Source organism: Homo sapiens, chromosome 8 (assembly GCF_000001405.40).
Source record: "Homo sapiens chromosome 8, GRCh38.p14 Primary Assembly".
Classification (NCBI taxonomy): domain Eukaryota; kingdom Metazoa; phylum Chordata; class Mammalia; order Primates; family Hominidae; genus Homo; species Homo sapiens.
This window is the reverse complement of record NC_000008.11, coordinates 12,737,199-12,760,729: the sequence shown is the minus strand read 5'-3', so window position 1 is coordinate 12,760,729 and position 23,531 is coordinate 12,737,199. Positions and strand designations below refer to the sequence as shown.

At 40.3% G+C, this 23,531-nt stretch overlaps 1 protein-coding gene across 7 annotated transcripts in view, besides 10 other annotated features; it reads left to right on the top strand.

Moving 5' to 3' along the window:
• Positions 3,198-3,257: an enhancer, noted in NCBI's record as "active region_27043". NCBI's record gives its function as "activates an Ori minimal core promoter by ATAC-STARR-seq in GM12878 lymphoblastoid cells {active_cell/tissue: GM12878}" and the evidence as "EXISTENCE:reporter gene assay evidence [ECO:0000049][PMID:35858748]".
• Positions 4,706-5,375: a silencer, noted in NCBI's record as "silent region_18954". NCBI's record gives its function as "represses an Ori minimal core promoter by ATAC-STARR-seq in GM12878 lymphoblastoid cells {active_cell/tissue: GM12878}" and the evidence as "EXISTENCE:reporter gene assay evidence [ECO:0000049][PMID:35858748]".
• Positions 4,706-5,795: a biological region, named in NCBI's record as "H3K27ac hESC enhancer GRCh37_chr8:12612509-12613328".
• Positions 4,911-5,730: an enhancer, noted in NCBI's record as "H3K27ac hESC enhancer chr8:12612509-12613328 (GRCh37/hg19 assembly coordinates)". NCBI's record gives its function as "activates a minimal SCP1, AML or CMV promoter by ChIP-STARR-seq in naive H9 embryonic stem cells {active_cell/tissue: H9 hESC(naive)}" and the evidence as "EXISTENCE:reporter gene assay evidence [ECO:0000049][PMID:30033119]".
• Positions 5,204-23,531, top strand: part of LONRF1 (LON peptidase N-terminal domain and ring finger 1) — a 33,621-nt gene continuing 15,293 nt past the window's right edge. For 4 of the 7 annotated variants that reach the window (NR_138256.2, NR_138255.2, NM_001329976.2 and 1 more), the window contains exons 1-4: positions 5,204-6,030; positions 17,448-17,566; positions 19,734-19,856; positions 22,586-22,735. Coding sequence is in view for 5 of the 7 variants with exons in the window: in NM_001329976.2 (NP_001316905.1) it covers positions 5,310-6,030; positions 17,448-17,566; positions 19,734-19,856; positions 22,586-22,735 (1,113 nt within the window). In the remaining 2 variants the exon portion in view is untranslated. Of the gene's footprint in view, positions 6,031-6,281; positions 6,818-17,447; positions 17,567-19,733; positions 19,857-22,585; positions 22,736-23,369; positions 23,459-23,531 lie in introns of those variants that run through there. The other 3 variants (XM_047422414.1, XM_011544694.4, XM_047422415.1) reach the window with 2 other exon arrangements.
• Positions 5,456-5,795: a silencer, noted in NCBI's record as "silent region_18953". NCBI's record gives its function as "represses an Ori minimal core promoter by ATAC-STARR-seq in GM12878 lymphoblastoid cells {active_cell/tissue: GM12878}" and the evidence as "EXISTENCE:reporter gene assay evidence [ECO:0000049][PMID:35858748]".
• Positions 5,799-5,989: a silencer, noted in NCBI's record as "fragment chr8:12612250-12612440 (GRCh37/hg19 assembly coordinates)". NCBI's record gives its function as "represses an EF-1alpha promoter that drives an FKBP-Casp9 reporter gene in an ReSE screen in K562 erythroleukemia cells {active_cell/tissue: K562}" and the evidence as "EXISTENCE:reporter gene assay evidence [ECO:0000049][PMID:32094911]".
• Positions 5,799-6,425: a biological region, named in NCBI's record as "ReSE screen-validated silencer GRCh37_chr8:12612250-12612440".
• Positions 5,886-6,425: a silencer, noted in NCBI's record as "silent region_18952". NCBI's record gives its function as "represses an Ori minimal core promoter by ATAC-STARR-seq in GM12878 lymphoblastoid cells {active_cell/tissue: GM12878}" and the evidence as "EXISTENCE:reporter gene assay evidence [ECO:0000049][PMID:35858748]".
• Positions 6,476-6,555: a silencer, noted in NCBI's record as "silent region_18951". NCBI's record gives its function as "represses an Ori minimal core promoter by ATAC-STARR-seq in GM12878 lymphoblastoid cells {active_cell/tissue: GM12878}" and the evidence as "EXISTENCE:reporter gene assay evidence [ECO:0000049][PMID:35858748]".
• Positions 6,566-6,805: a silencer, noted in NCBI's record as "silent region_18950". NCBI's record gives its function as "represses an Ori minimal core promoter by ATAC-STARR-seq in GM12878 lymphoblastoid cells {active_cell/tissue: GM12878}" and the evidence as "EXISTENCE:reporter gene assay evidence [ECO:0000049][PMID:35858748]".

Below are 23,531 nucleotides of genomic sequence, written 5' to 3'. Positions count from 1 at the left end.
GCTTACAAACAACAAATGTATTCCTCAAAGTTCTGAAGGGTAGAAATCTGAGATCAGGGTGCCAGCATGGTAAGATTCTGGCGAGGGCTCTCTTCTGGGTTGCAGACTGCTTACTTCTTGTTGTATCCTCACTTGATGGAAAGAGACTGAGCTAGCTGTCTGGCCTCTTCTTATAAGGGCACTAATCACATTCACGAGGGCTCCACCTTAATGACCTGATTACTTCCAACCAGGCTCCACCTTCTAATATCATCACTCGGGGGATCAGGTTTCAACATATGAATTTTTGTGAGGACAAAAACCTTCAATCCATAACAGAGGAGAAATAAAGAAAATAAATTGCCCCAAGGTATTAATGGTAAGTGGATTTTTGTTGTTGTTTTTGAGACAGACTCTCTGTCACCCAGGCTGGAGTGCAATGGCACAGTTTTGGCTCACTGCAATCTCTGCCTCCCAGGTTCAAGTGACTCTCATGCTTCATCCTCTAGAGTAGCTGAGACTACAGGAGTGTGCCATCACACCCAGCTAATTTTTGTGTATTTTTAGTAGAGATGGGGTTTCACCATGTTGGCCAGGCTGGTCTCCAACTCCTGACCTCAGGTGATCCACCCACCTTGGCCTCTTAAAGTGCTGGGATTACAGACACAAGCCACCGTGCCCCACCAGATTTTTATCACTAACAAGAATGAAAAATAGTACATGATATCTTTGTGGGTGGACTCATTTAAGAATGATTTTCTAGTGTCTTCTTGGTGCCTAGGTGCTAGAGACATGACAGTGAACAAGATGTACAGAAATCCCAAATCTCAAGGAGCTTACATTCTGGAGGGTGGAGACAAGTAATATGTATGTAATACGTCAGATGATAAGTACTAAAGGTGGGGGGGTGTGCGGTGGGGGGGCAGCAAGGAAGGAGGATGGAAAGTACCAGGGGGATTCATATGTATTAAATTCTTAGAATTTGTTAAATAATATATGGGGTTTATTCCTATGTCTACTTTTTAAACAGCTTGATACAGGAAAATGTATTCATTTAATCAATTTGACTACCAGCAAAATAGGCCATGGGTCACACACTTAGTATTTCTAGATTCTTCAGAGTATTAGAAATGAAGAATGAAGCATAGCACCCTTTGTAAGGGTAGTGGCCCTTGCGCACTTTGTGCACCCTGTAGGGATAACAAAGAATGAGCAGTAAATGGTACTTGGTTAGATGGTAGTCCTTGCAGGCAATTGGCTTTAGACTTACACTTCGTATCAGCTCTATTTAACCTACTCAGGTTGTCCTCATTAGGGCTTTTCATTTGGAACGCTATTATAGCAATCATATATGGTATTTTTAGCATCTTATATAAACTTTCGCACAAATGCCCAAGTTATATAATCAGCTCTCCCTCGGCCCCCCCACCCCCGGCTTTCTTTCAGCTTCCCACAGTTTTACAGTAGGGGCAAGGAGGTGTGAGTGCAATAGGGGATCCCTGTACAGTGACTGCAGGTGTTCAGGTCTCAGAAACTGGTTCCCCCTCTCTAAACAGGGATGAGTATGTACCAACAAAATGTGTTCTTGATACCCTTCTCTTCTATTCTCAGCCCTCATCTGCTGTTACATTTTCAGCAGGTATCACATTGCTGTGTTCCTCAGTCTGGGAGATGCTCTGCCTCCTCTTACTGTGTTCAAACCAAGCCCTGGGGCTTGGCTCCAGAGGCAGAAGGCACCTTAGAGGTAGTTGCAGTTCCCTCTTTCTACAGATAGCAAATGAGGCCTAGGGAACCCAGGTGACTTCTTCCCTGGCATAGAGGCATAAATAGAGTCAGCACCAGGTGTCTGGATTCCCTCGCTGGTATGACTTCTATGAAACTAGCAGCTTCTCAGATCCCAATTTTCTTATATATATATATATATATATATATATATATATATATAGAGAGAGAGAGAGAGAGAGAGAGAGAGAGAGAGAGAGGGGTATGAAAAGGTGGTCTCTAGAGACCCCTCCATCTGTGTATTCTGTACAAAAATGCTATTGGGGACCAGGCGTGGTGGTTTATGCCTCTAATCCCAGCCCATTAGGAGGTTGAGGCAGGGGAATTGCTTGAGGCCCGGAGTTTGAGACCAGCCTGGGCAACATAATGGGGCCCGCCTCTACAACAAGTTAAAAAAAAAAAAAATTGCTGAGCAGAGAGGCATGCGTCTGTAGTCCCAGCTACTCGGAGAGGCTGAGGTGGGAGATTGCTTGAGCCCAGGAGGTCAAGGCTGCAGTGAGCTATATACTCACTATGCACTGCAGCCTGGGTGACAAAGTTAGATTGTGTCAAAAAAAAAAAATCTATTGGCTAGGTACTGTTTATATAAAACGTTATAGTTTACTCTCTTTGAATAGAACATTATCAACTGAAATGAATCAGGAATGGGACATATTTTGCTTGGACTGACAAATTCAGTTTCTTTTTTAATAAGAATGTAAAGAAACAAATGGTAAATTCACCCACAGCAAAAAAAAAAAAAAAAAAAAAAAAAAAAGAGGTTCAAATACACATCTTCAGCTGAGTTGTATATAAGAAAAGCACTGTGTTATGTTACTCTTAAATAGGAGTTTACCAAACTATATCAGGAAAAGTCTTATGGTGTGGCAGTGGGAGGCAGGGATAAGCAGGCAATGATGGTGATAAGCATTTTCCAAATTAGGAAACAGATACGCTTTTCTTCTGACTCTCTTACATAACTGATCTATTTTAGAAGACAACACTCAAAAACCGAAACAGAATACAAATCTCATGATTTTACTACTTTGTTAGCAAAGAATGACACGAGCAAGTAATGCGGAAGGAAAAGGAGAGCTCTTCACTCCATTATACTTCTCCTAGCCAGGGGCAGCTTAGCAGGATTCCCTCTTCTCCATCACAGCCTGCTGGGTGACTCAGAGACCTGTCTAAATTTTAGGAAATGAACGAAGAAGGACACTAATTTTTCTCGCCTTTGAATTTAAACAAGCAGTCACATTATTGTGCAACTTTTGGATGGCAGAGAATGATGGAAGGGTGACCTGTGACAGTGCCAGTGACTGCTTTGCCTAGACTTCCTGATTCAAAGGGAAGTTATGCAGCACACAAAGGCCACAGCGGCAGTACAGCCTCTTACATAAATAAGTTACATAAATGAGAACAAGTTATGTAAATGCATAAACCAGCAAACATGAATTATAACCATTCACAAATGCCAAGGAGAACACGGTAAGATTCCTCCTACGGTCCCATTTTTTTCTCCCGCACATTATCATAATTGTGCCATTTTATTTCACATCAGAATCAGATGTGGTTGTCATATTTATTAGGAAAAGGAACTCCAAAGGACAAATAATACTTCACATTATTTTCTGAACCACATATTGTACTTTTGGCAGAAATCCCATAATAGAACCTGACTTTATATTTGAAAAGAAGTTTATGAGTGTTTATTAATTTACTATGCTCCTTGTAATAAACATGAACACATTGATTACATATTTACTGTTGTAAATTTTGCAACATGCCATTAAGAACAAGGATGCGTTACAAAAATGAATGTGCGTGTACACATGGATATTTGTTTGTGATTTCAAGTCTCAAGGGAGTATGTGGACATCAGCTGAAAGTCACTGTTCTGCTTGTTAAGGTAGTAATTTAGGGGTTAGGATTGGATTTAAGGTTATGCTCATGACTTAATCCCAATGCTTCCCATGCCAAATGCTTAGGAGGTGCTCCTTGGATCTAGCTGCAATTTGCTTCAGGTGCAATGTGAGTGATAAATGAACTTGTTTCTGTCTGCATCCTGTTGGAACAGGAGGCTTGGCTTTTTCTCAGGCACCTCTTTTTTATTCATTCCCTTTAGGGTAATATAACTCTGTCTTTTCTGACGTTACACGACTTGTTGATTGTGTAGTGAAAACACATGAACTCAAAACATTTTTTAGCCTTAATTGCCTGTTCCTTATAAAGAGAAATATTAAACGTTTACCAATTTCATACATAGCATGCTCAGGTGAACTTTCCAATTAGCAACTTCTTTTACTTTGAAAATCTCATATATTTCTATGAAATATTACATATTTTATTAAATATTACATATTAGTCTAACGTAGTAGTAGTGGAATAGACGTGATCTTAAAATCTGTATTAGCTGTGTGATTTTTGACAAATAACTTTCCCTGTGTTTCCAATCATTTGAAAAAGGACTAAAAGTCCTAAGTGACTTCCAACATTAGCGATCTAATACCCTATCATCAAATCTGTATTTTCAGCTGAGAGCTTTAAACTTGCTGCTGTGAAGTTTAAGGGAAATAGCACCCATTATATATCAACCCGATCATTTTCTTCTGTCAGCAAAACTGCAGAGCCAGCTTGGGTTGTAGTAATACGGTGACCGCCATGTGAAACATGTTTCTTGGTGTTTTCTTTTAAAACTGCCAAATATAGACCTTAACCAGCTGTAAGGCAGTGCTTGAGGTGTGGAGACACCTGAGGAAGCTGTGGGCTTTCTCCCTCGAGGTGGGCCCACGATGAGTTTTAAGCAAGACGGGCAAGCAGTCACCTGGCACCAGGAAAAACTCCTTGCCCTCTGGAGGGAGTCGCCCCAGGAACGTGGGTTTTTTGTTCATATTTAAAGTTGAGTCCTCTAGAACCGAAGAGTCCCAGTCATCTGCCGAAGGTGCGCTCCCAGGCCCCCTGCTTGGGCGCGCCCACCTGGAACATGGGCGTAGAGCTATGAAAATGCAGACCCGCACAAGCGCGAGGCCACGCGGGGAGACCCCCGCCCGCCAGGAGTTGGGGCAGGTCCGGCCTGGGCGGGGGCGTCGGGGGAGGGGTGGTGACCCGGAGTCCCGCGCGGCAGGGGAGCGTCCCCCAACCCCCGGCAGGGGCGAGGGCCACCGCAGGTGGCGGCGTTGGCAGACAGGCAAGCGGGGACTGAAGCTCCGGGGTCCTTCCGGCTTTGTTCCGTCACGAGCCGAGCCCTCCTTTCCGGAGAAGCCAATTAGATCTCCGACGGAGGAATCATCCGACCTGCGTCCCCCACCCGGAGGGGGCTCGGAAGGGGCGGGGCCCAGCGCTTGGCTCCTCGGGAGCGCGGCCGCGGGCGGCGTGGGGGAGTCCCGGGCGCCGTCGCCGAGCCCGGCCCCGCCCTCGCCAGGCCCCGCCCTCGGGGCTTCCCGGGCGCGCGCAGCCCCGCCGTGTCCGCGCGCCACGCCCCCCTGCTCGCGGGCCGCGTGCGGAGCCGCGCGCCCGGGAGGCTCCGGGACCGTGGCGGCGGGCGGCGGCGGCGCAGCCCTCCGCGGGCCATGTCCTCTCCGGCGGTGGCGAGGACCTCCCCAGGAGGGAGTCGGGAGATGGCCCCAGCGCCGCAGGGCCGAGGCCGGTTCTGGGAAGTGGGCGGCGGCAGCGGCCATCGGCTGGAGCGCGCGGCCGCGGAGTCGGAGCGCTGGGAGCTGCTGCTCCGCCGCGGGGAGCTGCTGGCGCTGGGCGGCCACCTGAAGGGCGCGCTGGAGGCGTTCGCGGCGGCGCTGCGCCGCGGGGCCCCGGCCAGGCCCGAGTGCCTGGGCGCCCTGGTGGACTGCCTGGTGTTCAACTACCGGCTCCGCCACGGGCTGGGCTGGAGCGCGGCCCCGGTTGCAGGCGCTGACGGCGGCGCCGGCGGGCTCCTCAGATGCCTGGGCTGCCGGGGCTTCCTGAGCGAGCCGGTGACCGTGCCCTGTGGCCACAGCTACTGCCGCCGCTGCCTGCGGAGGGAACTCCGCGCCCGCTGCCGCCTCTGCCGGGACCGGCTGCCGCCCGCCACCGCCAGTGCCACTGATGCTGAAGGGACCGCCCCGCGGCCGCCGCCTCTGGCCGCCGCCATCGCCGCTTCAGACTTCAGAACCAGCGTCGTCCTCAACCACCTGGCCGAGAAGTGGTTTCCGGGCCAGCGCGAGCGGGCCCGGGCGGCCGGCAGGCTCGGGGAGCTACTGCACCAGGGGCGCTACCGGGAGGCCCTGGCCGCCGCCTGCGAGGCGCTGCGAGCAGGTGACCGCGCGGGGATGCGGCGGGGCCGGGCCGACCGCACCCTCCTGGCCCCGAGGGCCGGGGACCCGGAGCTTGTCTGCGCCCCGAGAGTCTCCTCTGCTTCCCCGGGGCCGCTGGGCCGCTGGCGTGTCGGGTCTCGGGGTGCTGGGGGGTGTGGGAGGGGGCGGCGCCCCGGGGTGCTTCGGTCATAATGGGGATCGCCCTGGGAGCCGACTGTGACGCGGCGCGGGGAGGGGCGCTCGGCGCGGGGTTCCCTCGGCCGCGGCCTGGCTGTCGGGCGCGCGCTCCCGGCGCGGAGTGGGTGACCTGGACCGAGGCCGCCCCGGCGCGGGATGGGTGGTAGCTGGGCTATCCCGAGCGGCCGCTCGCTTCCTGCCGCGCGCTTTCCGGGAATTGGCTCTCGGGCCGGGCCCGCCGCGGGGAAACGACTGCCGGGGCGGGGAGAGAATCCCCCGCGAGGGCAACTAGGCCGGGCAGGCGGCGTCTCCCTTCCTCACCCACAAAAGTCACCGGGACAATTGGGAACCGCGGGAGGGCAGAATTGCATAAGCTGGGGGCGGGGGGCGTTGTGTAACGGGTGACGTCCGGTGGGCGTGGCGGGAGCTCCGCGCGGGCGCCCGGCCCCGGGAGGCCCTGCAGGCCGCCGGGCTTGGGGCTTGGGGCGGAGCTGCCCAGGGTGGTCCCTTGCTACCTGGAAATGCCTGAACTGGTTCCTCTTGAAAGTTTCAGCTGGCCTGTTTCAGATCCTGCTTATTTCCTATGTACTTTGCAGTGCACCTAGCTTATGGTAAAGATGAGAGGGGCTGCCTGATCCATAGTTCTCTGCCACGCTTCTCCTGGCCTTTCCACTTAGGATCAGGCTGTGGGGAAAGGCCTTATAGGTCTTGAGTGCATTTCTTAGTCTCCAAGAAGCAGCCTCGGCCTCCTAACCTAGGTTAGCACTTTCTTCTTAAGGTGGTTTTAGGCGCTGAAAGGGGGCAGTTTCAAGCTTCTCTTACGTAAAAGGAAGAGTTGTTCTATATAAATCAGTAGTTCTCTACCAGGGGGATTTTATCTCCCCTCTCTCAGGGGGCATTATTTAGAACAATATCTGGAGAGATTTTTGGTTGCCACCTCTTGTGGGGGTGGTGCTGGTACCGACATCTAGTGGGAGAGGCTGGGGTGCTGCTCAGACATCCTACTAGGCACAGCAGGATTCCCACAACAAAGAATTATCAGGCCCCAAGTGCCACTGTTGATAAACCTTGTGTTACGCGTATTTCAAGATCTTAGTGTCTATCCATTGGCATGAAATGATAGGGGAATAATCCCCAAGAAAACAGACATCTAGAATAGCAACTGACTTTAGGTATTACAGGTAAATTTATAGACTGTGTAACTGAAAGGATCATCTTTCGGGTCATCTTTTGTCCCAAGTGCTTAGTCATATTGAACTAATGTCAAGATCTTGTGTTGTTTAGTATCTTTAGAGTTCGAAGCACAAACCCCGGAGATTTTTGTATTCTTTCAGTGCCTTCGTGAGGAGTAGGCAGGTATAAAATAGAAAGGTAGGCTCAGAACAAAAAAAAAGTATTTGGAATACAGAATTCTGATACACATGACTCTGCTTCTCTGGGTGAATAAAGAGAAGAGAAACTGGACTCAGTTGTACAGACCACCTAGTAACTGACCATGGTGTGATTTTTAAAGCGAGGAAGCAGATGCCAGGCAGTGAAGACTTGCACACCGTCACACTGTTAACTGGTAGAGAGGCAGTGCTGTATCTTCCGCTTCTCCTAAACGTTGGTCTAGGGTTCATCCTGCCTTATAGCACATGTTTAGTATACATATCCAAGGAAGTTTTTTTGGTCACTGAGGCTGAACCTTATGGACAGTACTGCTGATTTAGTGATCTGACCTTGAATTAGGGGTTTCACAAGAATCCAGGTCCTGGTCCATGGAAGAACAGTGAGCACTTTTGATAATTGAGGTCTAGCTTAACATTCTGTGACCAATAATATTTTAGTTAACAGAGATTCTGGTTCTTGGATCGAGGATATTATGTTTAACAGGAAAAGGCTCTGAAAGATGTAATCTCTCTTTTTTTCAAGTTGCATAGATTGCACATGAGGATTTTGCCCACTTAGCAACTTCATTCTACTTTTGCAGGAATAGAACCCAAGTCTTCTGACTTTCACTGCATTAGCTTATTTTTTCCTCATTTTTAGTTCTTTCAAGAATCATTAATTCCATGCTTGAAAATGTCTGAATGGCACTAATGAGGATAAGTTTTTTAATCTTTTGAATTCTTAATGTGAACTAACAGGAAAAAAATCTCAGAGCTAACAAATTAGAGTTGGTAAAGGGCCGATTTATAAGTGTCTCACAATTTATGGGTGTAAATCAAAATGTTAACTAGTACAGTCATAAGCTGTTTGTACAATCCTTAGGCTTTAACTTCTTTGGAATTGGCAAGCTAGGCATTTGACATGTATTTATATAACTGTACGGTTGTAGTTATTAATGATCTTGTCATTATTGTTGATAATGAAAAAAGATCTTCACTATAATTTCTTCGTATAATTCTTATAATGAAACAAGTAAATACTATTAACTAGAAAAAATCTAGTCTGCAGTTAGCCCACACACATCCAAACTTATCTCTGCCAGCAGCAAAAGAAAGCTTGAAAACCTTTGCCAAAATCAGAAGTTTCCCATTTAGATTACATAAGTTTCTGTTGAATTGAAATATATTTAGATAACATTTAAACCATTGATCTTTTGGTATTAACTCTCAGATGTTTCATAACTTTCTGTCTTTTTAGTATTCAGGGATATTATGTAAAGTTTTTCCTGCACTGAATCTCTGTGCTTGAGCCTACTGAAATGATCCCCCTAAGCCATGCTGCCTGCCTTTTGTGTTTAATGTTTTTTTACACTGACTTATCTCCTTCGTGTGTTCACCTCTCCCCCAGAGGAAGACAACAGAACAGTATAATTTACAGTTTGTACAGGTTAAAAAAAAAAAAAAAGGTTGTAAGGTGGGGGGGTGATATTTTGTTTTAAAATATTTGGGTAAGGAAAATTTTGTCTTTAATATTAATTCTGTAATGCTTGACCAGGCATGGTGGCTCAAACCTGTAATCCCAGCACTTTGGGAGACCGAGGCGGGCGGATCGCATGAGGCCAGGAGTTCGAGACCAGCCTGGCCAACATGGTGAAACCCCGTATCTACTAGAGATACAAAAAATTACCCAGGCGTGGTGGTGCATGCCTGTAGTTCCCGCTACTCCAGAGGCTGAGGCAGAATTGCTTGAACCCGGAAAGTGGAGGTTGCAGTTAGCTGAGACCACACCACTGCACTCCATCCAGCCTGGGCAACAGAGCAAGACTCAGTCTCAAAAAAAAAAAAAAAAAAAAAAAACATAAAAATAAAAATATAATCCTTGACTGTTACCCAGTATTTTTACATTATTTATATTAATATCATTTGATCTTCACAGAGAATTCTATGGAGTACTGTAATATTATCCTCAGAGGGAAACTGAGGCATCTATGGATAGACATGCAGTGTGGCTTAGTGATTAAAGCTCTGCATGCTGGAAGCTGACACCTGGGTTCCAATCCTGACGCAGCCCTCGCCTCTCTCCGACCTTGTGCACGTTGCCTAACCTATCTGTGTTTTGGTTTCCTTATCTGAAAAATGAGAATAGTCTCTACCTCATAGGGTGTTGTGAGAATCAAATGAGTCAAAACATGCTAAGTGCTTTAAATAGTGCCTGACACAGAGTAAATGCCCAGTAAATATTAATTCAATATTTTTAAAATGTAGAAGTGTGTTACGGCTAGAAGGGGATTTTGCTGAAAGTGGAATCTAAACCTTGCAATTTTACATCCTGTTCTGTTCTATCACTTGGTAGAGAGTAACAATTACATCCCGATTTTAGTTTACACATGTTAACTAGCAGTTTAGCATTCATCAATAAACTATAGATACTTAAAAGCTTTAGCTATCAGAAGATCAGTCAAATTATAGGTAAATACTGAATACATTTAAAGAAAATGTAGAGGGTTTTTATTATCTTTAGTAACTCAACTAGGTTAAAATGAAGAAATTTGAATTTAAACAATACAGTAGTTTCCCCTTATTTGTGGTTTCAGTTACCCACATGGTACAGTATGATAAAATATTTTGAGAGACCACTTTCATGTACGTTTTATCACAGCATATTGTTATATTGTTCTATTTTATCATCAGTTATTGTTGCTAATGTCTTACTACACCTAATTTATAAATTAAAGTTTATCACAGGTATGATAGTATATATAGGGCTTGGTACTATCTGAAGTTGCAGGCATCCGTGGGAGTCTTGGAACGTATCCCCCTTGGGTAAAGGGAGGCTCTTGCTAACTTATTTATGTCCTTACTTATTGTGCAGAGGACTTGAAACAGTAAACACTGATGTCTGTATGGTGATTATAGTTCACAATTATTTTCATTTCTATTATCGTAATTGATCCATACACAAACTCATGTGAGATAGGAGGGCAAGTATTAATATCCCTAATTCACAGATGTAAGAAAAGTTGCAAGAATTTTGGGTGACTTTCTTAAGGGAAGTAAGTGACCAAGTTAAAACTGAAAGCAGAACCCAAATATGTGCATATTGATTCAAAACACAAAGTTGATTTAAAAATTAGCACGCAAAACATAAATCTAAAATATTCTTACTATTCAGCAAATTTTTATTGAGTAGCTACTATATACCAGGCATTGTTTTAGGTGCTAGAAATATAAAAAAGGAGTAAAATAAAGTCCCTGTCCTTGTAGAGTTTGTATTTTTTGTTTCTTTTGTAATTGCAGCAAATTGAAAATCCCTAGAAAATGGGGTTTACTGCTTAATTGGCTTCTACTTAACCGAGACTATATCTCTAATTATTTTCTTTGATTCATAAGGTACTTTAAGGATTTTTTTTCTTAGTGCCTCAGGGTTACTAAAAAGATCAACTGTAATGGCTTTTGATATAAATGATAAAAAAACTGATTCAAGTGTCCCATTTCAAATGAATAATTTGTTTTTTAACTGTTTTTCATTCATCAAATGCAGAATTTACCAAAACTGAATTATCTTAGATTTCTAGTTATTTATATATTAACTTTTTGTTTATTCAGAATCATTTTTCTGTTTGTTGGAATATTTCTAAGAGCCTTGGAAAATCTCGAGTAAAATTTTAAATGAATTTGTATAGTGTTCTGCCTCTTTCCAAAGGTATTTCTCAAAATTGGAATTGTTTTATTATTGAAGTTGAATGACTTCAGGGAACTCTAAAATGCAAGATGGAAGCTTCTGTTTGGTTTTTTCTTTCCCTTTGGTAAGGTCTTTTGCTTCCCATCCCCTTGACCCACCTTTGTGCTGTCTGTTGTCCAGTCTGCTCTCCTGATCCCTAAAGATGTTTCTTATCTAGGCTACCATTTATGTGGGTAAAAGACAAGGTAGAAAATACTCTTCTGTATCTTGTATCAAGGGTTAATCTAATATCTTCATCACTTTGTTTTGAGATATTTTGGAATGTTATCAACAATTATTATAGATGGAGCATGTATGTCTTAGGTTTGGTGTTAACTGTTTAACATGCATTATCTTATTCAATCCTCACAGCAGTTATAAAATGTAGGTGTTTTAGAGGTAAGCATATTATAGGTCAGGAGAGTTCAAAGAGTTAAACTACCAAAAGGGGATCTGAACCCAATTTCTGAATCTAGTGTTAATGATCTTACTATCCCAAACTCCTACTCCTGAACATTCTTAATCAATGATCAACAGCTTATCACTTGGCAGCTTTGAGCTCAACCCTGGTAACCAAGTCATACTATACTGAACATAATGAAGCAATAGAAGCAAAAAAAAAAAATTGATATTCTGGTTAGCCTTTGAAAATTTCGATAGCTTGATATATAAATCTCAGAAAAAGACACTCAGAAAAATGAGAAAAGGAATATGAATAGAGAACTTTATACACAGCCCAAATACTGAATAAACACAAAGTTTTAAAGGTCAAACTTAATGAAGAAATGGAGGTTGTTAAAATTACGATGCTATTTTTAATTTATGTATTTCTAGCAAAGAGAAGAAACACAGCTTGTGGGAGTATAAAATAAAGTCTTTATAAAAGAAGGGTTGGCAGAATGTGTTGGAAATGTTGTATATCTTTATAACTTTCTAGGCCCAGCATGGTGGCTCATGCATATAATGCCAAAACTTTGGGAGGCCAAGGAGGGAGGACCACTTGAGCCCAAGAGTTTGAGACCAGCCTGGGCAACATAGTGGTACCGTATCTGTACAAAAAAATTTAAAAATTAGCCAGGTGTGGAGGCATGCACCTGGAGTCCCAGCTACTGAGGCTGGAGTATCTATTGAGCATAGGAGGTCGAGGCTGCGGTGAGCCATGTTAATGCCACTGCACTCCAGCCTGGGCTACAGAGTGAGATCTTAGATCTTTTCTCAAATAAATAAAGTACAAGCAATAAATAACTTTCTACATACTGTATAGCAAATAACTAAAAAGGCAAGCAGGTACATAAAGATAGACGTTTGTTATACTTTTTATACTGCCAAAAGTTGGAAGTAACTTAATTGCAGAGTAGGAAATTTTTAAATAGGTTGTATATATAGTAGGATATTTTGCAACTATTAAAAATCATGTGGACTAGTATTACATGGGAAAAAAAGCAGATTATAAACAGCATATATAGTATATTTTATAAAACTACATGTTAAAAATGTACTTTACACATAAAGAACAAAAATGTATGGGAGGCCGTTTGTTTTAGACTGACCTGCACTAGGCACCAGCAGACCAGACAGAATTAGAATGGAGGCCCTTGTGCTGAGTGCCACATAATCAAACTGAACTTTGAATTTGAACTGAAATGAGCCAGTTTTCTAAAAAAAAAAAAAAAAAAGAGAGAGATTTCAGTCAACCTGAGTTAGTGAAATAAGACAGCCCTCTCTGTTTTAACCTGTAAAGAAAGTTTTCAACTTTAAAACAACCAATCTACTTTTTGTCCCTTATTTCTGCTTTCTTTAAACCTTTTCTGCCTAGAAGGCTAACCTCCTCTGCTTAGCTCATTAGAAGACCCATTTTATAGAATGAGCTGTTGCCCATTCCTAGAATCACAAATAAAAGTCAATTCGAACCTTAAATTTGTGCTAATTTTTTCTTTTGTTAACACCAACACTGGCTATTTCTTTGTGATGGGTAAAAGATAGTTTTTACCTCTTATTTCTATATTTTTCAAATTGTATGAGTAAACATTTTTTAAGCTTTTGTGATTTGAAAAAAACTTTCTTGAAGGTGAACTAAAGAAACAACTTTAAGACCTGTTACTAACCATGGATCTCTAATGATTGGAACAAAGATAGAAAACCATGACTCTAGAATAGAAAACTCTCTCTTCAACCCATGAAATAAATGCTTTGGACAGCCGAAGACTAGATTCCTCAGATGGTGGAGCAGAGTCTTATTTAAATCTTTTTCCTTGCTGAATGACTTACAAATAATACTGGGTATAAAAGGAGAAAATGGGAACATGAATTGAGCTTAAGGAATCAAATTTTAATGAATTTTTTCTAATTCAGGAAACATTTATCAAAGCCAGGATCTGAGGATAAAAGGCAGGAAATAACGGAGGGAGTTCAAACATCTTTGAATTAAATTACTTTAATAAATAATGTATATATACGATGAAGGCACAGAATCATAATAGCAAACACGCCATGCTTTCAATGTACCAAGCCCTGTTCTAAGTACTATGCACCGATTAACTTACTCTCTAGAGTAAGCCTTGGGGTAGAGACTGTTACCAACATATTAATAGCATGGAGGTAAACAGCTAGAACTCTGGAGCTGGCTTCCTGAGTTAGAATCTCGAATCCACCAATTACTAGCTGTATGATCATGGGCAAGCTGCATATACTCTTCACTGTTTTCTATAAAAATGTGGACAATCCTAGATCCATGTAGAATTGTGCTGAAGATTGTAAATCATTTAGAACAGCACATAGTGGTGTTAATAATGTTTTAAAAGCCCCGGAATATTAAAGCTAAGGAAATTAAAGTACAGAGATTACTTGTAATTTACCCCAAGTCACAGTGAGTGGGTGGAAGAGCCAGATCATGCTCTTAGTGGTTATCATAAATTGTGGAGGAAGACCCAAAGCAAAGCATCTTGGGAGGAGACTGGTGAGCTGTCTTGCTGGATGATAAAAACTTATCAAGATAAAGAATGGTATGGTAAGGGAGGAGCTCAGCACAGGAATGAGGCATGAAATAGAATGGTGTACATGGGGCAGTGTGGGTAGTTAGGTATGGTTGGGACTTTGAGTGAGTGGGAAGGTTCATAATGATAATTAAGGCTGGAGAGATGGGCAGGAGCCAGGCATGGAGGAACTTGTACTAAATAATACCTGTTTTACCTTGTGAATGGTAAGGATATAGGTAGAGTAGAACTGAAGGCAGGGAGATCAGTGAGCAAGCTATTGCAATAGTATTAGAGATTTGGGGAGCCTAACCCAGGATTACTAGAGATAGGATTGGAAAAGGGGAGATTTGAGGAATATCATAGGAGGTGACATTTACAAAGTTGATTCTGATTTGGGAAGTTAGTGGTGTCAATAATAGAGAATACAATGAAAAATGCTTTTTTGGTGAAGAATGCTGAGTTTAGAAAAATTATGGCAGGCAGTTGGAAATTTGATGAATCTGAAGTTAGGGTGAAAAATCAGGACTAAAGATAAAGATCAGGGAGTTAAATCATGACAACTAGCACATCTGTCCCTGCTTCTGGTAGATATGGGTACAAGACCAGAGATATTAAGTGATTTAGAATAAGGTCACAGAGTTAAGTACCACAGTCATATTCAATACAATTAACCCAAACCATGTTGTCTTTGGATTTTGTCAATGTTGTCAAAATTTTGACAACTTTTGAAATTTTGTCGATTTCAAAAATGGAAAATACATAATATGCCAGGCACTTGCTGGGCAATACAGATACCTGCAGTAATGGAGTGAGCACCAGCATCTTCCCTGATGGCGTGTGCAGTGAGGTGACTCGTCTGTAGTGTCCTCAAGGTCACGTAGAGAGCATACAGTAAATACTTGTTGACTCTTTCAAACTTAAGTTAATGATACAGTCAGGACTGATAGCCATTTTGTTGTCTTTCTTGAAAGTTTACGTGGAAGGCAGACCTTGTGTATGCTTTTCAAAGGGGCTCATTTAGCGCACTTGGCGCTTAAGAATTTGAGATCAGTGTGATGGTCCTAATCTTTTTTTAAAAGTATTGGAAGTTTGAACTCACCTGATGGGGTTGGTTTTTTTTTTTTTTTTTTTTTTTTCCAAAAAAATAATCATTCAAAATAATCGGTTAACATTTTCAATAAGAGCATTACATACAAGGAGTTAGGGAACAAAGAGTTTTAAAATCTGGCTCTTTTTATCTCTACTTAGGGCGTGCATCTTCTCTTCTTACCCCAACATATACTGACTTTTTAGGACCTCCTTTAGGGAGATCTCAATATCCCGAATTTTTCTGTGTGGAGAGGGGAAGGAATATGTCTTTTTTTGCTTTGGTCAGAGTGGATACATTTTATAGTTTGTTTTTTCAAAGACGGGTCTTCTGAGTCACTTCTTTCACTGCTGCCGTAAAGAAACTGTATAAAGGTGATTGAGCAGTGAAGGCATGGATAAAAGGGGAAATATTCAGCAGTTCTGAACGTGCATGTCATCAAATATAAAGGAGTGAGAACTTGATGTATAAGAAAAAATGGAAGTTAAAAAAAATAAAAATCCAAGAATGGGCTGCTTGTTGCAGTAGTGAACTCCTCGCTGGAGGTACTAGAGCGGAGTCTGTCTCAAGGATGCTATTGGAAGCACCCCAGCTGTGGGTGGAAAACTGCACTTTCTGAGCCTAGTCTTTTATAGCCTGGAGTTTTTGATGCTGATGCTTTTACTACTTGTTCTTAGACTATTTTGCCATACGCTGCTCTGTTTTCTCACCTCCAGTTGTACTTGACAAGTCAGTATTGCATGATGCTGTTTGACAGTAAAATTTTCTAGCTAGATTATAAGCTCCTCAAAAACAGGAATAATGTAAAACATTTTTGAATACCTACAGGGTCTAGGTTTGTGCTAGGAACTCTTAATTCTTGATTGATTAATCATATTGAACTTTTAATTCTTATGCATTTTGTTCAGAGATAATTTTTCATTGCTTTAAGAAGCACAAGACACAATATTCTAGACATGTCTTTTTTTAACAAGTAAAACATTTTTATAAAATATTAATTTTATTCTTTAAATGTTTTCGTTGATATAAAATTCTGAGAACATTGTAATCCCAGTTCTCAGGCACCAGCAACTGAAAGAGGCCTTCCTAAATTAATTGCTCAAGTGAGAGTTTTGAATAGAAAAGCAATCATCTAAAAACTAGAGTAAACCCGGCAGCTATTGATAAATTTTATTAAATTTTATTTAGAGGCATTAAGGTCTTTATGCCCATCTTACAATGAATACTTTATGCTTTTAAAGATCTCAAAGATAGCTTTAAAATAAGAGTCAAGTTAATGTCATTTGTTGCTATATTATAAATTAATGTCTTGCTTGGACATCAGTTTTAGAATCTGTGTACCTGTAGTAATTGATTGCAGTAATATCAGTGAACCAGCTAAGTGTCTGAAATTCTGAATGCCATAGGATAATAATTTGGCTTCTTAAGTACAGATGTGGATGATAGTGAAATGAATCACAAAGCGTTTTTTCTCAGGAGTATTTTAAATTAAATATATTTTGAATTGGGCCAATACTGTTTTTGCTAATGGCAGGAATTAAAATTCGATCTCTTAAAAGCTGACTCTTATTAACCCATTTCCTCCAGAATCAAGACTACTGTGTATGCTCATAAGATTGAGCCTTTATCAGTCCCTTGTCACCGTGGGAATTCCATATGTAATAGTTACACGTATGGCTATTTTTATAAATGAAGATTTAGAAAGTAGGGTAAAAATATAAGATTTACTATAAAAAGGCAAATCTAAACATCTAAGAAATATGTCTTTAAAATCTTTATAGACTACCCTTTGTTAAAAAAAAAGTTTTCTTAGGAGTGATTATTCATATTATAAAAGTATTTACAGTATTCTGGAAAACAGTTTCCTCCACTAAAATGATCTACTTACAATGATTTGATACAACTTCTAGATAAGATTCAACACGTAAAATGGGTTGTGCCTATACTGCCTTTGGCTTATAGACTTTAGTTTGGTGATTATTAACCCTGGAATCACTAAGTCATTTCTTAATCTGGTATGATCATATTTTGTAGATTATGTAATAATCTTTTAAAAATAATCATATCCTTATAAAATATTTATTTCAGAACCCAGTGACTTGATTGTAAAAATTTACAGAGCGGAATCATATGCTGGTCTCCAAGAGTTTAAAGCAGCCATAGAAGATTTAAATGCAGTTCTTTTTCAACTTCCAGATTGGCCTGAGGTAAAATTACTGTTTTATGTTTGCATAAATTGTAAAATTTTAACTATAAGGGACATGCATTCATTCACAGTTAGGAATTTTAACAAAGTAGATGGTTGACTCCAAATAAAATATCTAGTGCTCTAGAAATATAGGTTCACCTAGGTGCAATGGCTCATTTCCATAATCCTAGCAATTTGGGACGCTGAGTTGGACGGATTGCTTGAGCCCAGGAGTTTGAGACCAGCTTGGGCAACATGTTGAAACCCCATCTCTACAAAAAACACAAAAATGAGCCTGGCATGGTTGTTTGTGCCTGTAGTCCCAACTACTCGAGAGGCTGAAGTGGGAAGGTCACTGGAGCCCTGGAGATTGAGGTTGTGCCACTGAAGTGCCACTGCATTCCAGCCTTGGTGTCAGACCCTGTCTCAAAAAAAATCTAGGTTCAATATTTTGAGTGGAGGAGTATCATCTCACAATTTTTTAAATTATAAGAGACTTTTCTTTCATAAATAAGGAACAAACAATTCATGGTACAGGAAAAAAAAAGACTTTATTATACAAAATGTCTGCAAAGAAATACAACTTGCCATATTGTGAAGATGGATACAAACTGGACTTCATTGAATGAGATTTATTAATGGAAAGAGAATAGGTTCTTAAAGTTGGAAACTTTTTGAGGTATTATATGGTAACTAGATGATTAGGCAGTGATTTAATTCAGAAGATAGGGACAAAGGAAGTTGCCTTGCCCATGTGGCTTTTAAAAAGACTTAGGAATGTGTATAACATACAGTCAGTTTACAGATTCTCCTTTTTATCAAATTGTCAAGGCAAATTAGTCCAAATGTGTTCTTTAAGATATAAGTTACTCTTTTAAGTGACCTTTTCCCTCCATTCAAAACTGTGTCTTTGAGGACAGTGTAGTAAGGCTGCTCTAAAAAGTATAAATTAATTAGAGAAATGATACGAAATCTCATGATGGCATGACTGGTTAGTACAAAGTAAATGTATTCAGAATAAGAGGGCAGTGGTCAGTGTGCATGGCTTTAAAACTATTGAAAAGGAATCTTTTGGATTTGCCACAGAAGTGATGTAATCAGAAAGGTTTTCTTCAGCCATTAAAGTGGTAGCTAAAAAACTGTTTGGCTAGAACGTTCTTTAGGCTCCTCTGATATTATTTAATACTAAGAATCTGTTTCATTCTAATCACATAAGCAAGGAACATTTAAAGCTTACCAGTTGATACTTTGTTGGTGGACCAACCCACAGGACTGAATTTTGGGTTTATCAGTGATAATTAGTAGGACTCTAATTTTTGTCATAGAGTTTGCTGAACTCACATTATGAAGGAGAAAAGTGAAAGACAAAATAAGGGATTTATGAAAAGTGTCATGTCTATAAGTACTTCCTTAAAAAATTTCATGGGCAATTATACATTCCTAATAACTTGGAAGAAATTTACCATACTGCCCTAAATCTAAGACAAAATTTTTTTCACATTTTAATATTTCTTTAATTTTGATGGATTCTTAGTCAGTATAATTTTACGTATAATTTCCTTTTCCCTCAAATTAAATCAATAATATTTAAATCAGTAATTTCCTTAAATTGTGGGGACATGGTATTTCTGATCCTGCCCAGCTCTGACTTGGTGTGGAACTTTGGTGAAAAAGTCATTGTCTGGGCCTCAGTTCCCCTGTTAGTGCTTCTCCAGGGTGGTGTGTAGGTATGCCTTTAAAATGCTTTGGCCTCAATTATTCAGAATTTCAAAATCTGCATTTCCTTTTTTTGTTTGTTTGAGACAGAGTCTTACTCCGTCACCCAGGCTGGAGTGCATTGGTGTGATCTCAGCTCACTGCAACCTCCACCTCCCATATTCAAGTGATTTTCATGCCTTAGCCTCCCAGTTAGCTGGGATTACAGGTGCATGCCCCCGTGCCTGGCTAATGTTTGCATTTGTAGTAGAGGCAGGGTTTCACCATGTTGACCAGACTGGTCTCGAACTCCTGAACTCAAGTGATCCACCTTTGTCAGCCTCCCAAAGTGCTGGGATTACAGGCGTGAGCTACTGCACCCGGCCCAGAATCGGCACTGCTGAGCAGACTATTGTTTTTCTTTACTTGATAATGATTTTTTAAAAAGCAATTCTTAACACAAAGGTTTTATATATCTGCTTTTATTAAAGGTCTACTTCAGGAAAGGAAAAGTACTCTGCGATGCTGGTTTTTTAGGTGATGCCTTACAACTCTTTCTTCAGTGCTTAGCCCTTGATGAAGATTTTGCACCTGCAAAGCTGCAAGTACAAAAGGTAATCAGTTTACCAACAATTACAGTTCATGGTAGGGCTAAGAGGCAGACAGGTTTAAAAAAAAAAGCTAATAAAAGTTGGAATAAGAACATAAGTAGTAAATAAATCTAACTTAGGAACAAATGTGATAATTTGAGTGGTTTTCAGGTTCATGTACGTATTATATTGAGTTCTTAGTGAAATCGAAACATTTCATTCACAGATATTTCAATGCATTTTTTTGGTTAGTATTCTAATAGTTTGTTCAATCTGAGCCAGACTGATGGTCCTTAATTAAGCATTACTATCACGATGTTCCTGCTCAGAAGCCTTACTGACCTGCCTTTTGCCTTTTACTTCAGGTCTAACCTTTGCTTACTCCGCAGGATTGCCAATAGTATTGCTCAGTCCACTTGTTTTGCCTTAGTTTTTTCAATACTCCATATGTCACTTTCCATACTTTGTTCTATTTGTGGTGTGTTAGTAATTAATTTTTAAAGATAGGAGATGGGGGAAGGAAGGGAGCTGTCTGATGAAGTGACTTTGGGAAGCATTGGGTTAAGCCAAGTTAATTAGGTTTCTCCAGAACGTTTCATAGCTTTTGATATGCCAGCATGAAATAAAATAGCACTCAGCTCTTGCAAGACTTATTCACAGAATATCTTCGAAAAATTCTTTGAGAAAATCTATGCTAATACAAATTCAGGGTCCCAGTCATGATGCTTTCCTGCACATACTCAAAACATGCCACGTTATTTATCAGTGTTTCTTAGAGTGTGGCTTTTTGTCAGAATCATGTGGGGATCATGTTAAACCTAAAGAGTCCTGGGCCCACCAACTACAAGTCTTTGATTCAGAATCTCTAAAATTGGAGCAGTCATTTAAGAAGCATCCCAGGAGATGTTTTTGTACCCTGAAGCATGAGAACTTTGAGATTGTTCTCAGATCTCAGCCGCCTTAAGAATCCAGCTGGCATTGGTATAGCCTCTATGAGGTTTGTTTGTATATACATTCTAGCCCACTGATTTAAGAAGAAAATGTTTACTATTGTCTGTTTTCTGACTGTTCCATGTTCGTTAGTGTTATCTTCTTGGTAAGACTGCAAACTTTAATTTTAAGAGCATGTGTTTCTGCATTTTGCATGCTGCCAGACATCCTTCTATTTCTGTAACTATTTGTTTGCTGGTTAATAGGATCAGGTAGATGCAAAACAAATAATGCTTTAGAATATTTTGTTTTTCTCCAATATACTTTTTCTAAGTTGTGGTATAATTTACATATAATAAAATGCATGGATTTTACACGTCAGTGAGTTTTGAAAAATGTATGTACCTGTGTAACAGCATCCCAATCAAAACAGAGAATATTTCCATCACCCTAGAAAGTACCTTCATCTCCTTTCCAGTAAATCCTCCATCCCCTGCTCCTAGAGGCAACTACTGTTCAGATTTTTGTCACTGTAGAGTAGTGTTACTTATTCTAGAACTTCATTGGAATGGAATCATACAATATATACTGTTTTGTGTCTGGGTTTGTTTTTTTTTTTTTTTTTTGCTGAACATATTTTTTAGATACATCTAGTCATTTTTTATTGTTTTTTAAAGTATTCCATTATATGAACATAATGGAATTTGTGGTTTTCAGTTAGTAGTGATTTTCATTTGGATTGTTTCCAGTATTTTTTCCTGATATAAACTAAGCTGCTATGAGTATTCTTGTACAAGTCATTTTGTGGACATATGTTTTTACATCCCTTTGGCAAAAACTTAGCAGTGGAATTGCTGGGTTCTAGGGTGGATGTGTGTTTAATTTATTTTTTAAAACAGAGGAAATGTAAATGTGTATATACAGATTTTTAAATGTTTGCTTATTAAATGGAGTATTTGAGCACCTACCAAAGATACGTGCTTTTATCTACATTGTTTATATTTCCATAAATGATTTGTGATTTATTTTGATTTTTGTGTATTTGAAAGATAACAGCTGAAAAACCGAACCTCCAATTTAGACTTTAATATGTGCTATACCTATAAATACAGATTGTTTGACCACCAAAAATATCAGAATCCCTTTCATTTCATTCTAGCCATGTTCTTCCCCTATCTTAACCTGTTTCTGTTGGAGTTTTAGGCATATTCCTGAGGTAAGCACCCAGAAATTTGATTCTCCAGCTGTCTCCCAGCTTATTTCCTCGCTATTATAGGGAAGCTGCCATGGGGTGCTTCTAACCAAGTATTGGGCAGCAGTAACTGCCCACACAGGTTAGTTATTCAGTGAGAAATTAAATTGAGTGTAAGTACAGGGAATTTTGTAGTTTTGTAGTTAGAAGTCCAAGTGTAGTTCACATAAGTGCCCCAAGGCCAACTTCGTAAATATACATTGAGGTGAACCATGAACTATTTTGATAGCATAGGGCTCACTAAGATTCAGAGATAAATATTTAATATGTCTTTTAAGATCTTTTTATAGTCTTTGTGTTGAAAGATCAGCCTTTATCCTGAGTCTTACTACTCCCATGCTTTCCTTTCAAAGTTTTGAATCATTTGTTTGCGGGTGATTTGACCCCATGAGGCACACCTAATTTTGCAAGACTTTTGAACTTACAGTGTTGCTTACCTTGTTCCCCTCCTGCTCATTAAAAAAATGTCTGCTACAAACTTTCTACATATTCTTTATTAGGTAAATTTATACAAAATTATCCTTAACCAAATATTTTATATTTTCTACTACTTTTAATATTTCTCTTACAGATTTTATGTGATTTATTATTACCTGAAAACTTAAAAGAAGGCCTGAAGGAATCTTCCTGGAGTTCATTACCATGTACTAAAAACAGACCTTTTGATTTTCATTCAGTGATGGAAGAGTCTCAGTCTCTCAATGAACCTAGCCCAAAGCAGGTACGGGGTGAGACAAGGTTATCATGAGTTTAGCGTATCCATTTCTTTACGAGTTAAGAGCTTCACTTTCCTAGTTTCAAGTACTAGCACCTACTTAAGTACTTTTAACCTGGTTAGTTATCATAGTAGAATTTTTTCCATAGCCTTTACTTTACACTAAAATCTTTTATGTAAAATATTTGCTAATGAATCACAATTTTAGGTCCCGTGAAAGAAAACTTTTAGTTCTTTAAAAATATGTATAGAACATTGCATTTATGTTTCCTCAGGGTAGTAACAGCTGTGTTATAGCATAACTACTTTTAAACCTCATTATAACATAAGTCACCTTGATTTCTAGGGCTGTGTAAGTACAGTCATCCCTTGTATCTGTGGGAGATTGGTTCCAGGACCTCTCACAGATAGCAAATCCAAGGATGCTCAAGTCCCTGATATATTAATAAAATGGCACAGTATTTGCATATAACTTATGCACATCCTCCTGTATACTTAAATCATCTCTAGGTTACTTATAATACCTAATACAATGTAAATACTATGTAAATAGTTGTTATACTGTATTGTCTAGGGAATAATGACAAGAAAAAAGTCGATATATGTTCAGGCTTTTTTTTAGAATATTTTCTATCCCCAGTTGGATGAACCCACGGATGCAGAGCCTGTGGATACGGAGGGCCAACTGTGCTGGCAAAAATCATTTACTTGTCACAGTGTTGGAATCAAGTTAGTGCTATTAAATGAACATTAAAATGAGCATTATAAGGCATTGAAATTTCATTTCAGTTTGATTCTTGGT